At 36.7% G+C, this 14,385-nt stretch overlaps 1 long non-coding RNA gene across 1 annotated transcript in view, besides 1 other annotated feature; it reads left to right on the top strand.

The window, feature by feature from the left end:
• The window catches only part of LINC02241 (long intergenic non-protein coding RNA 2241), a 325,854-nt gene that overhangs the window by 59,838 nt on the left and 251,631 nt on the right, over window positions 1-14,385 (top strand). The window lies entirely within an intron of this gene.
• Window positions 7,280-8,479: an enhancer, noted in NCBI's record as "MED14-independent group 3 enhancer chr5:20679066-20680265 (GRCh37/hg19 assembly coordinates)". NCBI's record gives its function as "activates an origin of replication core promoter dependent on BRD2, BRD4, P300/CBP and CDK7 cofactors, and independent of MED14, by STARR-seq in HCT116 cells {active_cell/tissue: HCT116}" and the evidence as "EXISTENCE:reporter gene assay evidence [ECO:0000049][PMID:35650434]".

Below are 14,385 nucleotides of genomic sequence, written 5' to 3' on the forward strand. Positions count from 1 at the left end.
CAACTTGGATACCAGCTGAACCACCATAGAATCGGGAATCAGGAAGTGTCCTTAGGCATCTATTTCAGACACCAACTCCCAGATGACATTTCTAGAAGTGCCCTGGGCTAGAATGGAATCCACTGGCTTGAAAGGAAGGGCCCAGTCCTGGCAGAATTTTTCAGCTTCTGACTAAAGAGGCCTTGGGCCCTGAATAATTAGCACCGGTGGCCAGGTAGTACACACCATGGGCCTTGGGTGAGACTCTGAGATGTACTGGTTTCAGGTGTCATCCAGTACATTTGTAGCTGTGGTGGATACAAGGAGTGACTCCTGTTTGCGAAAAGCAGAGGGAAGAGTAAAGTAGGCTTTATATTGCAGCGTACATACCAGCTCAGGCACAGAGGGGTAGAACACTAAGTGAGTTCTTGACATCCCCAATTCCAGGCACTGACACTTGGACAGTGTTTATGGATCTGTCCTGGGCTAGAGGGGAGTCCAATGCCCTGAAGGGTGAGTACCAGGACTGGAAGCATTTATCACAAGCTGACTGAAGAACGCTTGGACCTTGAGTGAAAATCAGCAGTATCTGGCAATACGCTTAATGGGCCTGTGGCGGTGGCCGTGGAGAAAAACTACTGTGCTTGTGTAAAGGGAAGAGAAGAGTTGGAAGGAATTTGGCTTGTGGCTAGGGTGCCTGTTCAGCTATAGTAGAATAAAGTAATAGGTATATTTGTAAGGTTTTCAACTTTAGGCTCTGGCTTCAAGATGGTATCTCTGAACCTGCCCGGGGCCATGGTGAACTCTCCACCCAGAAGGGAAAGGCACAAGCTTGGCTGACTTCACCAGCTGTTGATTGTAGGGCCCTAGACCCCCAAATGAATATAGCCAGGTGATAGCAAGGTAGTAGTTACAGTGGGCCTTGTGTGAGACCCATTGCTATGCAGTCTTCTGGTCTCACCCAGTGCAGTCCCAGTGGTGGCAGCCACAGGGGTGCTTATGACGCCTCCCCCACAGTTCCAGGCAGCTCAGCACAGAGAGATATACTCCATTTCTTTGAGATAAAATAAGGGAAACAAATAAAATTATTACATACCTTCTCCTAAAGCTAACCCACATTGATTTAAGGCACTCTATCTATAATATTCTCCAAATACAAAGTAGAGCAAAATTTCCTTTGCTTCTACCTCCCTCCTCAAGAAAAGAAACAAGTAGATGTATTTGTTTGTACCCCGACATCTGTGTATCCTCAACCACACTGTTTCTACCCTGGTGAGTAGAAATGTTGGATCTTTGGGAAAGGACTTTTGCCTTGTCCTTGCAGCTTTCTCTTCTCCACCAACTCCACCAAGGAAAGACATTCCATTTTTCCTTCTATCCTGATGGGAAAGAACGCTACATCATACCCTTCATTTCCCCTAGTGATATCTGCCTTTTACTTACCTTGAGAAATAATGGCAAAATGGTTACAAGGACAGAAATTTTTGCAACAACAAATTCATTCAGAATCATTTCAAAAATTAAATTACTGTCATTCACAGAAGTAATAACTTAAATGCTTTTCAGAAGCCGATGGGTTTAAAATGATAAGTAAAATGTCAAAAGGGCAATTGGAAGTAGCTTACACAGCTTTATAGGGTCACCCTTTTTTCATTCTCTTTACACTTTTCTATTTTGATTTCTATTTTATAATGTTAACTTCTTGTTACTTCTGGGTATCCCAGATTAATCATTGAGATTAAGACTCTGAAGGCTAGTGTAGTAAAATACTGCAGACCAAATAAAGGTGTCATAGTGACACAGTAAAATATAATATAAAAGTGAGTTATATTCAAAATAATGAAATTGTTTCATGCATATGATAAAATATATGATGATGAATCAAATGACATGAAGTATTTTTTTCCTAAAAATGTTATTAAGACATTAGGTAATGGAGAAAGAAGCAATAAGATAATAATAGTATGACCTCAGTTAAAATATTTGTAGAAAAATCAGTTGAAATTCTCATACTTTACTCACTTTCCAAAATAAGTTTTTAAAATTAAATGATAATGTAAATATTAAAGCAAATTCACACAGTACTTATATACTATCTGCATAGAAGGGGGTTTCTAAGCACAAGGTAATAAAAGGAAATAAACAATGATTTGAGAACTAATGAAAATATATTTTATATCAAAGGAATCATAACCAAAATCAAAGCAAAATTACAAGTTAAGAAAAATGTGTAGGCTACATTCTCATCTATATATCTGAAAGTAAAACATTATATCTCCCAACAGAAAAATCAGCAAATTTTATGAACCCAGAGATCTAAAACAAATGCCGAATTAACATATTTAAAATGTAAAACTTCAGCAGTAATTATAGACAGTATTATTGGAGAGATAGTAAAATAATACTGAAAATATGAGAAAAGAGATAACTTTGAATATTAAACAAAAATATTAAAGATAGTATTCCCAGGAGTTATATTGTAAAGAAACAGTTGAACCTCATCTGTATTGAAGGCATTTACATGCAAAAAGAGAAAAATATGTTAAGTCAAAAAAGTGGCTACATAACAATTAGAACAAAGACAGAAATTTATAAAGGCCAATTTTAGCAGTGTCAACACAACTTCTACCAAGAATAGAGTGATGCCCTCTATACTTGGTATGTTTATGTCTTTTGCTAAGCTGAAGTTAGAAAAATATCAGAAATATTGCCAATAAAAGAGGAATACGTTAAACCCTATTAACCTGAATCCCTACTTAATATTCAATTTACATTTAATTAGATGACCTGTGTAGTATGTCTATGTAAAAAAATAGTGGCTTGAGCTGGCACTACTCTACAGTATATTTTGGTTCTGGCAAGTGATTAAATTGGAATTCTCGAAAGGAGTGTCCTTGTAAGATGTATTAGCATATTAGAATCCCATGTGTAAGAAAGTCTGACTCTACCACGATTGATCTTCTGAGTGAGTAGCTGAGGGTTTAACATAGTTTAAGGTTGATTTACCAAGACAAATATACTCTCGGAAGAACTGGTTAGTATGCTCACCCAATCACCTCTCCTTCCTTTGGATACTTTTCTTAAAGTATCCATGGCTGGATGCCATGCTCCTCAAGAAACTACATAATAAGGGAATAATTTAAAAAAAAACTATTTGCTCTCTCTCTCTCTCTCTCTCTCTCTCTCTCTCTCTCTCTCTCTCTCTCTCTCTCTCTCTCTCTCTCTATATATATATATATATATATATATATATATATACTCTCAACTGTATTCATAACAAAATAAGAAGAAAATATTCATGGTAATTACAATCCCCAAGGGTCACGAGGTCATAAATGATATTTATAGCTAACTTATTCTACTACCCATTCTGTATTCCCTTTGCCTTCATCAAGAACTTTAGCTGTTTATTGTTCTTTACCTGGTGGAGTGACCAAAATTTTAATCCTGAAGGATCTATGCCATAAGTAGTTCTCCCCAGATTGAGTTGTAATTTTCTATTGATTTCAATCACAGAATATAATAAAACTAAGAGATACTGTGAGAGATCACTCATATTCTAGACCTACTCTTCCTTACCTCTCTGATGGAATAGCCCAGTTTCCCCTTGGTAGCCCTCATCAGTTGCCCCAGCCAACCCCATAACTCCTTTCTTCGCCTGTTGATTCAGAATTAGTAGCCCAAAGTGGCCAGGTTGACAGGCTTAACTTTCAGTTCAATGGAATTATTGCTGTGTCTCCTGGTACAAGCATTCCTCTCTATGAACTTGATTACCTACATGCCAGCAGAGCATAAAGTTACAAAACAGGAAGCAACAATTTTGCTACTGAGTCACTATGGGAATGTCAAGTGGTACCACTCTTATTTCCACCCCATGATTCCTGAACCCATAAATCCTGAGTATCAGAGAAAAAGTACTATATATTGGATATGATTGAAAGCATATACAACTTTCTGGAGAAGCTAGTCCTGGCCCTGCAAGGCACTGCCACCTAGCTGGTGCTGAAACTGGGTCTTCAAAAACATCTTAGCCAGGTGTGGTGGCTCGCACCTGTAATCCCAGCACTTCGGGAGGCCGAAGCAGGCAGATAATTGGAGCTCAGAAGTTTGAGACCAGCCTGGGCAATGTGGCGAAACTCTGTCTCTACAAAAAGTACAAAAAAGTAGCCAGGTGTGGTGGCACGCACATGTAGTCCCACATACTCAGGAAGCTGAGGTGGGAGGAAGGCTTGAGTCCAGGAGGCAGAGGTTTCAGTGAGCTGAGATGGTGCCACTGCACTCCAGCCTGGGCAATAGAGCCAGACCTTGTCCCAAAACAAAACAAACAAAAACAAAACAAACAAAATAGACATCTAACTGTTCTATCAAGCTAATTGCTTAAGGATGATGGGGAATGTGATAAGACCAGTGAATTTCACAAGCATAGGCCCATTGCCATAATTCTCTGGCTATTAAATGAGTTATTTGGTCAGAATGCTGCATGTAATACTACAGGAGTAGAGCAGGCATTCTGGTCATAAGTCCACAGACGATAGTTCTGGCAGAACCATAGCATGCACGGAAGATAAATCCAACCAGAGTAAGTATCAATTCCATTATGGACAAAACACTGTCCCTTACATGATGGAAGCATTCCAATGTAATCAATCTGCTGCCAGGTAGATGGCTGATCACCCCCAAGGGATAGTGATATATTGAGCATTCAGTGTTGGACTCTGCTACAGACTGGGCACTCAGCAGTGGCCATAGGCAGGTCAGTCTTGGTGAGTGGAAGTCCATGTTGCTGAGCCGTAACCTTAATCCCTGACACCATGGCTACTTTGTTCATGAGCCCATTGGGGAATGATAGGATTGAGTATGGAAAAAAGCAGAATGGAATCCCCCAAAGGGTCATGCTATTCACTTGATTATTAAAATCCTCCTTTTTCTGAGATCAGTCTTTGGTGAGCATTTACATGAAACACAAATATCTTTATATATTTTGTCCATTTAGAGAGGTCAATCCTCATACCTATTCCACTATTTTTTTTTGTTATTAATTTTTCACTCATGGTTGTTCTAAGTCTTTCACCATCTGGCCAAACCATTAGCTACAGTCCACGAATCAGTACAATCATCTCTTGATAACCGTGGAGGATTGGTTCCAGGACCTCCTGCAGATACCAAAATCCATGGATAACCTAGTTTCAGATATAAAATAATGTAGTATTTGCATATAACCTGTGCACATTGTCCCGTATACTTTAAGTCATCTCTGGATTACTTATGATACTTTATGCAATGTAAATACTATGTAAATAGTTGTTGTACTGTATTGTTTAAAAAAGATAAAAAATCTGTACACATTCATTACAGGTGAAATTCATTTTTTTTTTACATAATTTTGATCTATGGCTGGTTGAATCCACAGATGTGGGGAAGCTAGTGTAGCAGGTGTGAACACCACAGGCATTTGGGCCAATTGTTCTTGTAACTTACTTGGGCCTTCAAGGCCTGCTTGAGCCTGATCATATGTATATACCACTTCCATTTCAGAATAGACTGTTGCAGTGCATGTCCAACTTAATAGATTAGTGGGTCAGATAACACCTACTTTATAATGAGCAGCTTAAGTGTCATGATAATTTGGGGGGCCATGGTCGAGTGCACAGTTTCTATTAAGGCCCAGTAGCAGGCCAAGTTCTGTCTCTCACAAGGTGAGTAGTTATCTGCAAAAGATAGCATACTGTTGATAAAAATCCTAAAGAACTGTGTTATGATTCACCTATGGGCACTTGTCACAGGATAAAAACAGTATTCTTATCTACAACTGATGCTTCAGGCTCCATTGGAACTAATGGATCGTATGGTCCAAGTGGCAGAGCAGCTTGCTCAGCAGCCTGGATCAGTTTTTACAAGCGTTACAGCAGAACTGAGTATATTGATCATAATAAAGGATGGGAAAGAGAATGTTAAAATTCTTGCACAAAACCAACAGCATTGCTGGGAGGAGGAATATTCTGTGTGCAAACCAATTCTAGTTTTCTTCTCCTGCTAGGGTAAAGCCAAAAAGATCTCAACTGCTGAAACCAGGAGCACATTTCAAAGCTATATTGTCCATAGAGGCTGAAATGAAGATGTCTAGCACACTTAATTATTAGACAACACGTGCTTCATACTTTTTATTCCGCTATCATAGTGAAGAAGAATGTTAAAATACATAAATTGCATCTTTTTTAATCATAAAGAGAATTATATGCAAAAATGAATATTTCAACAAATTAAAGTCATAATTTTTTAAAGACCCATTTTATTTATTTATTTTTTCCTTAAAAATATTTATTTCATTAATCTAAAATAATTTTCTTGGTGATTATCATGTCCAGAGGAATATTCTAGTTTGAGCTGCTTATATTTTTTTCAAAATGTAAAAGGAAATCCTCTCTGAGACCATGTCTCTTTCACACTAAAATTCAAATATAAAATTGCTAATAACTTTAATTTGTTAAAGATCTTAATTTCTGAGTTTAAGAACCATCTATCATTTATAACAGGAAATAAAAGAAAATAAAATGGACTCTAATAACATGACTCATGATAATTTTAGCCGTATTCTCCATCAGCAATAACTGTAACCTAATAAATTGACAGTGAATATTTCCTCCTTGAACACAATTAGTAATGACCCTTTTCTTTTATTATGATGCCCAGTTGTCCTCAGATAAGACTGTGAGATTAACTACTGTGGCAAGCCTGCTGAGATTATACAAGTGTGTAGCCTGCTGTTTCAGTTAGCAATGACTTGAGAAAAAAACAATAATTATATATGTATATATGTATATATATAAATATATAATTTGTGCTGGATATATATAGACACACACACATACATATGTATAACCATAGGTTCCTGTGGTTGACTCCTTACACATTTCACTTCAGTTTCAATTTCATGTAGATCTGTATGAGTTTCAAACCAGGTGAAAAATCATATCATTATGGCCCAGCAGGGGCATAATATAATTTCACTGAAGCCCAGCTGGTTTGAAATGCAATGACTGAAAATCAGGTAAGATTTACATATTGGCAGCTTTGGAAATCAAGGCTTTACACACCTCTGATTACATTTAAATTAGAATTCACAGTAAAGGTCACAAGTTGTACCCAATTGTAATGATCTGACTATAACCCTTGAGCTATCTCAAACTTATTGCTCTAGGGCTGGCTTGCCAGTGTCAGGTGCCATCAGTCTCACCAGACAGAGATGAGGGCACAGGGTGGAACTCTGCACACCTCATGCCTAAGTCATGACCACACAACTGTAAGAGTATAACACATTATCCATCACGTCTCCTAAAAAATTCACCCTCAGTATTCTGTAGGATCCTCTTATCAATGGGTTTCACTTTGCACAATTTCAGTTACTCAGAGGTCAGTTGCATTCTGAAAATACTACATGAAAAATTCCAGAAATTAGCAATTCATGTTTTAAATTGTGAGTTGTTCTGAGTTGGGTGATGAAATCTTGCACCACCCTGCTTCATCTTGTCTGAGATGTGACTCATCCCTTTGTCCAGTGTATCCAGGCTGTACACACTCACACTACCTCCTTGTGAGTCACTTAGTAGCAGACTTGGTTATCAAAATGACATAGTATGGTTTGTATAGGGTTTGGTACTATCCACAGTTTCAGGCATCCACTGGGGTTCTAGAAAGGTAAGCCCTGTGGATAAGTGGGGGATGCAATTTATGTCACAGCATTTGATGTCTATATCCTAAGCTTAATGAAGTGTAGTAGCGAGGATATTTCAATTATTTTAATTGTTTACAAGATTATGACTTGTGATCATTGAAACAAATGTCCTTTTCTCTTCCTCCCGTTTTTGTCTCCTGCTTTTCAGATCATAGAAAAATTAGGGTTACTCACCCCTGTTATCCCAGTACTTTGGGAGGCTGAGGCGGGTGGATCACTTGAGAACAGGAGTTCAAGACCAGCCTGGCCAACGTAGCGAAACCCTGTCTCTACTAAAAATACAAAAAATTACCTGTTCATGGTGGTGGATGCCTCCAATCCCAGCTACTCGGGAGAATGAGGCAGGAGAATCTGTTGAACCTGGGAGGCATAGGTTACAGTAAGCCGAGATCACGCCACTGCACTCTATCCTGGGTGACAGAGTGAGACTCCATCTCAGAAAAAAAAAAAAAAAAATTAGGGTGACGTGATTAAATACATATTTAAGATAAATATACACATAATCAATACTCATTTCTATACACTATTACATTTCCATTATATTTACAGGATTACTTATAGCTAAAATTGATTTAATTTGACCTATCTCTCCTTTATTTTGGGAATTAGCTGTAAACACATGTTAATTTTATGGATCTTCTAACAGGCATTTTTTGCTAACTAGGTTTAGATTTCCCTAAAGCATTGAAAATTAAGGCAGGGTAAAGAAAGCTAGAGCCATCACTTCTTATTCACCATTGTTATTCTAAATTTATAAATATCCATTAGAAAAAAAACTAAACCAAGTATTTTTCATCCATTTTATAATATATTCTACCACACGAACTATATAAAACAGTTAAGAAAACGTTCTTTTATACCTAAAAAAGTCAAATTATCTAATTAAAATAAAGGTAATATTCAATCTATTTTTCTATCCCTCTTATAACAACAAACAGCTTTAGCCTCTTTCTCAGGTCTTTCTCTGCCTATGTGTCCATCCTTTCATAATCTCCAAATGCTTACATAATTTTTACACAGATTCCTTTTCAAAATTTTTTATAGCAACTTTTCAACTGGTTTCAATTATATGAAGTACGAGTCTTTTTTTAAGAGTCAATGTTTTCTGTAAAAATCTCAATTTCTTTCTCACCTTTACTCTGGATTAAAATCTGCATTCTTAGTATTTTCTTGTCATTTTCTCATTCAACATTAATTTAAGAAATACCTATTCAGGGCCTACCATGTAGCAAGCACAGTTAAAAGTGTTGGGTGGAGATGACCGTGACAAGCTCCTATTCTCAAGAACCTCACAGATGAGAATAATGAGATTGTATGATTAGTAATAAAGATTCAGATCAGACTAATACAGTGAATGCTTATGAATTTATGTTGCCTTAGCATCCATTTCGAATACAGGTTTAACTTTCTCAGACCAAGAGCAGTACAGTTTCAGTTCTACACAGTTTTCAGCTCTACACCCAGCACCAATGGTTCAAGCCTGTGGCCACAGATAAGAAGTTAAAGGAATCTCTCCTGCCTAGAAGCCTGGGCTCCCCACCTTCTCTCTGCTTTCCTTAAAATGACCATTCTGGCATTTGCCTGTGAATTTAAGGTGACTCACGCCTTTTTCTCATATACGCTGTTAATTGCCAGAACTTTTTTACCTCCCTTTCTTCCTGCCTGCCGTGTGTTCCCTGACCTGTGTGTGGCCTCCAGGCTTGCAGTATATACCCCACGTTCTGTAAGAACTAAAAACTCTTAAACTTTCACAGTGTGGCTCTTGCTGAAACCTTGCCAGCAATCCCACCAGTAGGCTGGCTGCCTGAAGGCACCCCTGCAGGTGGATCTGCTACTAGTGTTTTCTCAGGGCCTCTGAAACTGCTAAGAACAGTAGCTATCAGCTAAGTTGATAGAGAAACTCCATGAAGAGTTTCATTCAAAACAAATCAATAGAATAGTCGATATTCCCCAGCATGAGAGGAAAGAAGTGTGGAATCAGGCTTCATACTGAAGGTAATTCTAGCCTTGAATTGAAAAAAGACTCTTGCTTTCAAGGGCAACATTCTTATCTGCAAAAATGAACTGTGTTTTACACTGGAATCTCTGTGTGACCAGTTTTTTCCTAATTAACTTATTCAGGTCCTTGCTCTTTCCAAGAAAATGTCAGCATTTTAAAATTTGACATTTTAAAAGACCCAGAGTGTTTTGACATCAAGTTAAATATAAGTTAATTTAAATTAGTTCACAAAATGTCACAAAGTGAGACAAAAGAATCCACTTTTTTCTCCAAAGTCACAACAAATTGTTTAATAAAGAAGAATAAATAAATAATTATGTGTAACAGATTGCCAGTCACTGTCTTTCATTTCCTTAAGAAGAATGGAGCAGACTAATTCTGCTAGAATTTCCTGATGTATTAGATCAGTATATATATTTTTTAAAATTTTTGGAATGTGACATGCAATAACTATTTTTCACTTTTATCTTGAAAAGTCATGTCAAATCTCAAAAGAAACACATGAACAACAGTAACAACAAAAAGCTATCTTAAAATTAGCCTCAATCTTGAAAGAAAAAGATTGGAAGGTCATAATGTCACAACAATGAGTGGTTTTATAAATTGAATAAATTTATCTTTATGACAAACTCATTATATTTTTCTTATTTTACTTTAGTCATGTGAAAGTATATTCCAAACCCAGAACCTGAGCACAGATTGGGACTGAGAAACACTTGTCTAGATTGTCAGGCAATCTGTAACATCAGCAGTGGATGGAAAGAAGGAGAAAGATGAGTTTTATGGACGCTAACCCATCTATATGGCTTTGGAAAATAAAGTACTGCTGTTTTTTTTTGTAAAGGATTTTTATTTTTTATCTTTACATACATCTCCCATTAAAAGGTTAAGACATTAGGGTTTTCTATTTATAACTTGACTTTTGTATATGCAAACACTGTTTTGGAAGATCTTGATGATAAACTCAGCAGATATGAACCGGTCTGGTACTACATGGTAGTATAAGGTATCTGATTTCCATCAGGGTATGATTACAATGTATACTTTATATCTAGAATTAATCTAATCTAATGTTTCTCCATTTTTTTTTCACAGACTCACATATATTTCACTTATTTATACTTCACAATATTTCAGCATTCTTTTGGGATTGTCTTTATTTGAGATTGGGTTTCCCACCACTTCTTTGAAAACTTCAGATGTATTATGCCTCTTAATAAGAAATCTGACATGATAAAATGACATAAATAACAGAGATAAAATCAGATGTATCTTAGTCATTGCTGAACTTTCAGTAAGCACAATTGTGACCAAGCCGAAAAGATACAGTAAAGTGCATTAATAAAAAATATGGGTCTTTTGTCCTACCATTATTCTCAACATATTCCATAATTTAACACAGTGGCTTAGGTGATGCCTTCATGCAAATTTATCATAGCATGGGTCATGAAGAGTGACTGACAAAGTAGTATTTCACAGACACGTCCATTGACTGTGATAAATACGACCTCTACATTAGAAATTCATATAACACAGTGAAATTTAGAAAACGATGATGTTGTTAGACAAGCCAAGCCCATGAAATCATAAAACATGAATAGTCTTTCATAATTAAAGCCGTTATATTCATGTCTACTGGACAAAGCAACACATAAGCTATAAAGGTCATCATTATCTCTCAATTTAAAAAATAAAATAAAAACCAAAGTTAAGATTCAGTATCACTCTCATTGAGCACAGTTGCTAACTCTCTGACTACAGAACTTACTCTGTGTTCCCTTCTGCTATTGTTCTGTGACTATTTTTTAATCACTTTTCTTTCATAAGCAATTTTTCCTGTTCCCCTTCACTCTCTCTTCTTAATCCACAACTCCACCCAGCAGGCCCTGAATAACTTTGGAAGTAAACACACCCTGTAAAAGATTGTCCTTTTTTTTTTTTTGGTTGCTTACAGTTGCATTACATTTACAGTTATGCACCACATGATGTTTCAGTCAACAATGACACACATTTACTATAGCGGTTTCATAAAATTATAATGGGGCTGCAAAATTTCTATCGCCTGGTGACATCGTGGTCATTGTAATGTTATAGTGCAACATATTACTCATGTCTGTGGTGATGCTGGTGTACACAAACCTACCGTGTTTTCAGTTGTATAAAAGTATAGCACACACAATTTCGTATAGTATATAATACTTGATATGCTAATAAATGACTATGTTACCTATTTATATATTTATTCTATGGTACTTTTTATCACTACTTTAGAGTGTAGTCTTTCTACTTAAATATTTTTTTAAAAGTTAACTGTAAAACAGCCTCAGGCAGTCACTCAGAAGGTATTTCACAAAAAGGCATTTTTATCATGGGAGATAACAGCTCCATGAATCTTACTGCCTCTGAAGACTTTTCACTGGGACAAGATGCAAAAGTGAAAGAGGTGATATTGATGATCCTGACCCTGTGTTGGCCTATGATAATGTGTGTGTTTGTGTCTTAGCTTTTAACAAAAAAGTTTAAATAGTACAAACAAATTTAAAAATAGAAAAATGCTTATAGAATAAGGATATAAAGAAAGAAAACATTTTTGTACAGTTGTATGTACAATGTGTGTTTTAAGCTGTGTTATTACAAAAGAGACAAAGGGTCAAAAAATTAAAAGTTTATAAAGTACAAAGCTACAATAAGTGAAAGTTAATTTGATACTAAATAAATACTTTTTAAAATAAATGTAATGTAGTCAAAGTGTATAGTGTTTATAAAGCCTACAGTAGTGGACAGTAATATTCTAGGCCTTCACATTCACTCACGTCTCACTCACTGATTCACCCAGAGCAAGTCCTGCAAGATCTTGGTAGAGCACATGGTAAGTGCTCTAGACAGGTTTACCATTTTGTAAATCTTTCATAATGTATTTTTACTGTACCTTTCTATTTTTAGATATGTTTAGATACACAAATACTTACTATTGTGTTATAATTTCTGACAGTGTTCAGTATAGTAACATGCTGCACAGGTTTGTATCCTAGGAGCAAAAGACTATATGATATAGCCTAAGTGTGTAGACTTGATATGGTCTGGATCTGTGTCCTCAGTGAAATCTCATGTCTAATTGTAATCCTCCATGTTGCAGATGGGGCCTGGTGGGAGGTAATTGAATCACGGGGGTGGTTTCTCATGGTTTAACACCATCACCCCTTGGTACTGTATAGTGATAGTTTTCTCATGAGATCTGGTGTATAGCACCTCCTCCTGCCCCTCTTGCTCCTGCTCTGGCCATGTAAGATGTCCCTGCTTTTCTTTTGCCTTCTACCATGAATGTAAGTTTCCTGAGGCCTCCCAAGAAGCAGAAACCACCATGCTTCCTCTACAGCCTGCAGAACCATGAGCCAATTAAACCTCTTTTCTTTACAAACTACCCAGTCTCAGGTATTTCTTGATAGCAGTATGAGAACTGAGTAATACAACATTCTATCATCTTTATTCAATGACAAAATTATCTAACAATGCATTTCTCAAACAATATACCTATCATTAAGGGACACATAGCTGCATTATCATAAAGGCACTGAATATAAAATGATAATGATATTTGAGAATGTAAACAACAGCCTGGAATCTCATCATTATTTGTTTAAAGAAACTTTTCTTTGATTTCCTAGTTATGCATATGAACTTTTCTTCAGAAACAAAACTATGATGCAAAAATGTATTATTATGCAATTCATTGGCCCTGTTCAAGATGAAACAAATTGTCAGGTCTTGGTATCAGATGGTTTATTCAATTCAGAGAACAGGTTTGGGCACACAGAGACATCTACTGTCTGGCAGAGAGGACATATCTATGGAAATGACAGGTTGCAAACCTTTTAGGAACATTAAAAGTTACAATTAAAAATAAATAGAAGGCAAAGAACTGTTAGCATTTTTTCTAGTACGATTCCTAGGTGACTCCCTGGAAATCAACTGAGGTGCTTTTATATAGCAGATTCCTGGGTCCCACTCAACACCTGTAGAATCAGGGAAACCAGAGGAGATGCTTGGGAATATGCATTTATAATAATCTTTTCAGATGTTTCTTGTATACTCTTTAGTCTGAATATTACTAGGTTACAAGAATACTGTAGCTTCCAGTGTGACTATATCCATCAACTTGCAGCACTCCTGCTAGGTTCTGAAGTCCTAACCACAGTACTATTGTAAGATCTGGCTGGTTAGTGAATCTAAGTCATTTGTGGCCATGAGAAATTCACAGGGCTGAGCTTGCAAATTGACAGTATTAATGGCTATACCATGTTAGTAGGTCTCAGCAGGAGTGGAACAGTTCTTAAAGCCTATAAGTGAGAACACATGGTATTCAGTGTTTTGTTTCTGTGTTAGTTTGCTGAGGATAATGGTCTCCAGCTTCATCCATGTCCCTGCACAGGACATGATCTCATTCTTTTTTTATGGCTGCATAGTATTTCAGGGTGTATATGTACCACATTTTCTTTATCCAGACTATCACTAATGGGCATTTAGGTTGATTCTTTGGCTTTGCTATTGTGATTAGTGCTGTAATGAAATGACACATGAACACATAGAGGGAAACAACACATACTGGGCCCTTTCAGAGAGTGAAGGGTGCAAGGAGGGAGAGGATCAGGAAGAAAATCTAATGGGTAATACACTT

This window comes from Homo sapiens, chromosome 5, assembly GCF_000001405.40.
Source record: "Homo sapiens chromosome 5, GRCh38.p14 Primary Assembly".
Taxonomy (NCBI): domain Eukaryota; kingdom Metazoa; phylum Chordata; class Mammalia; order Primates; family Hominidae; genus Homo; species Homo sapiens.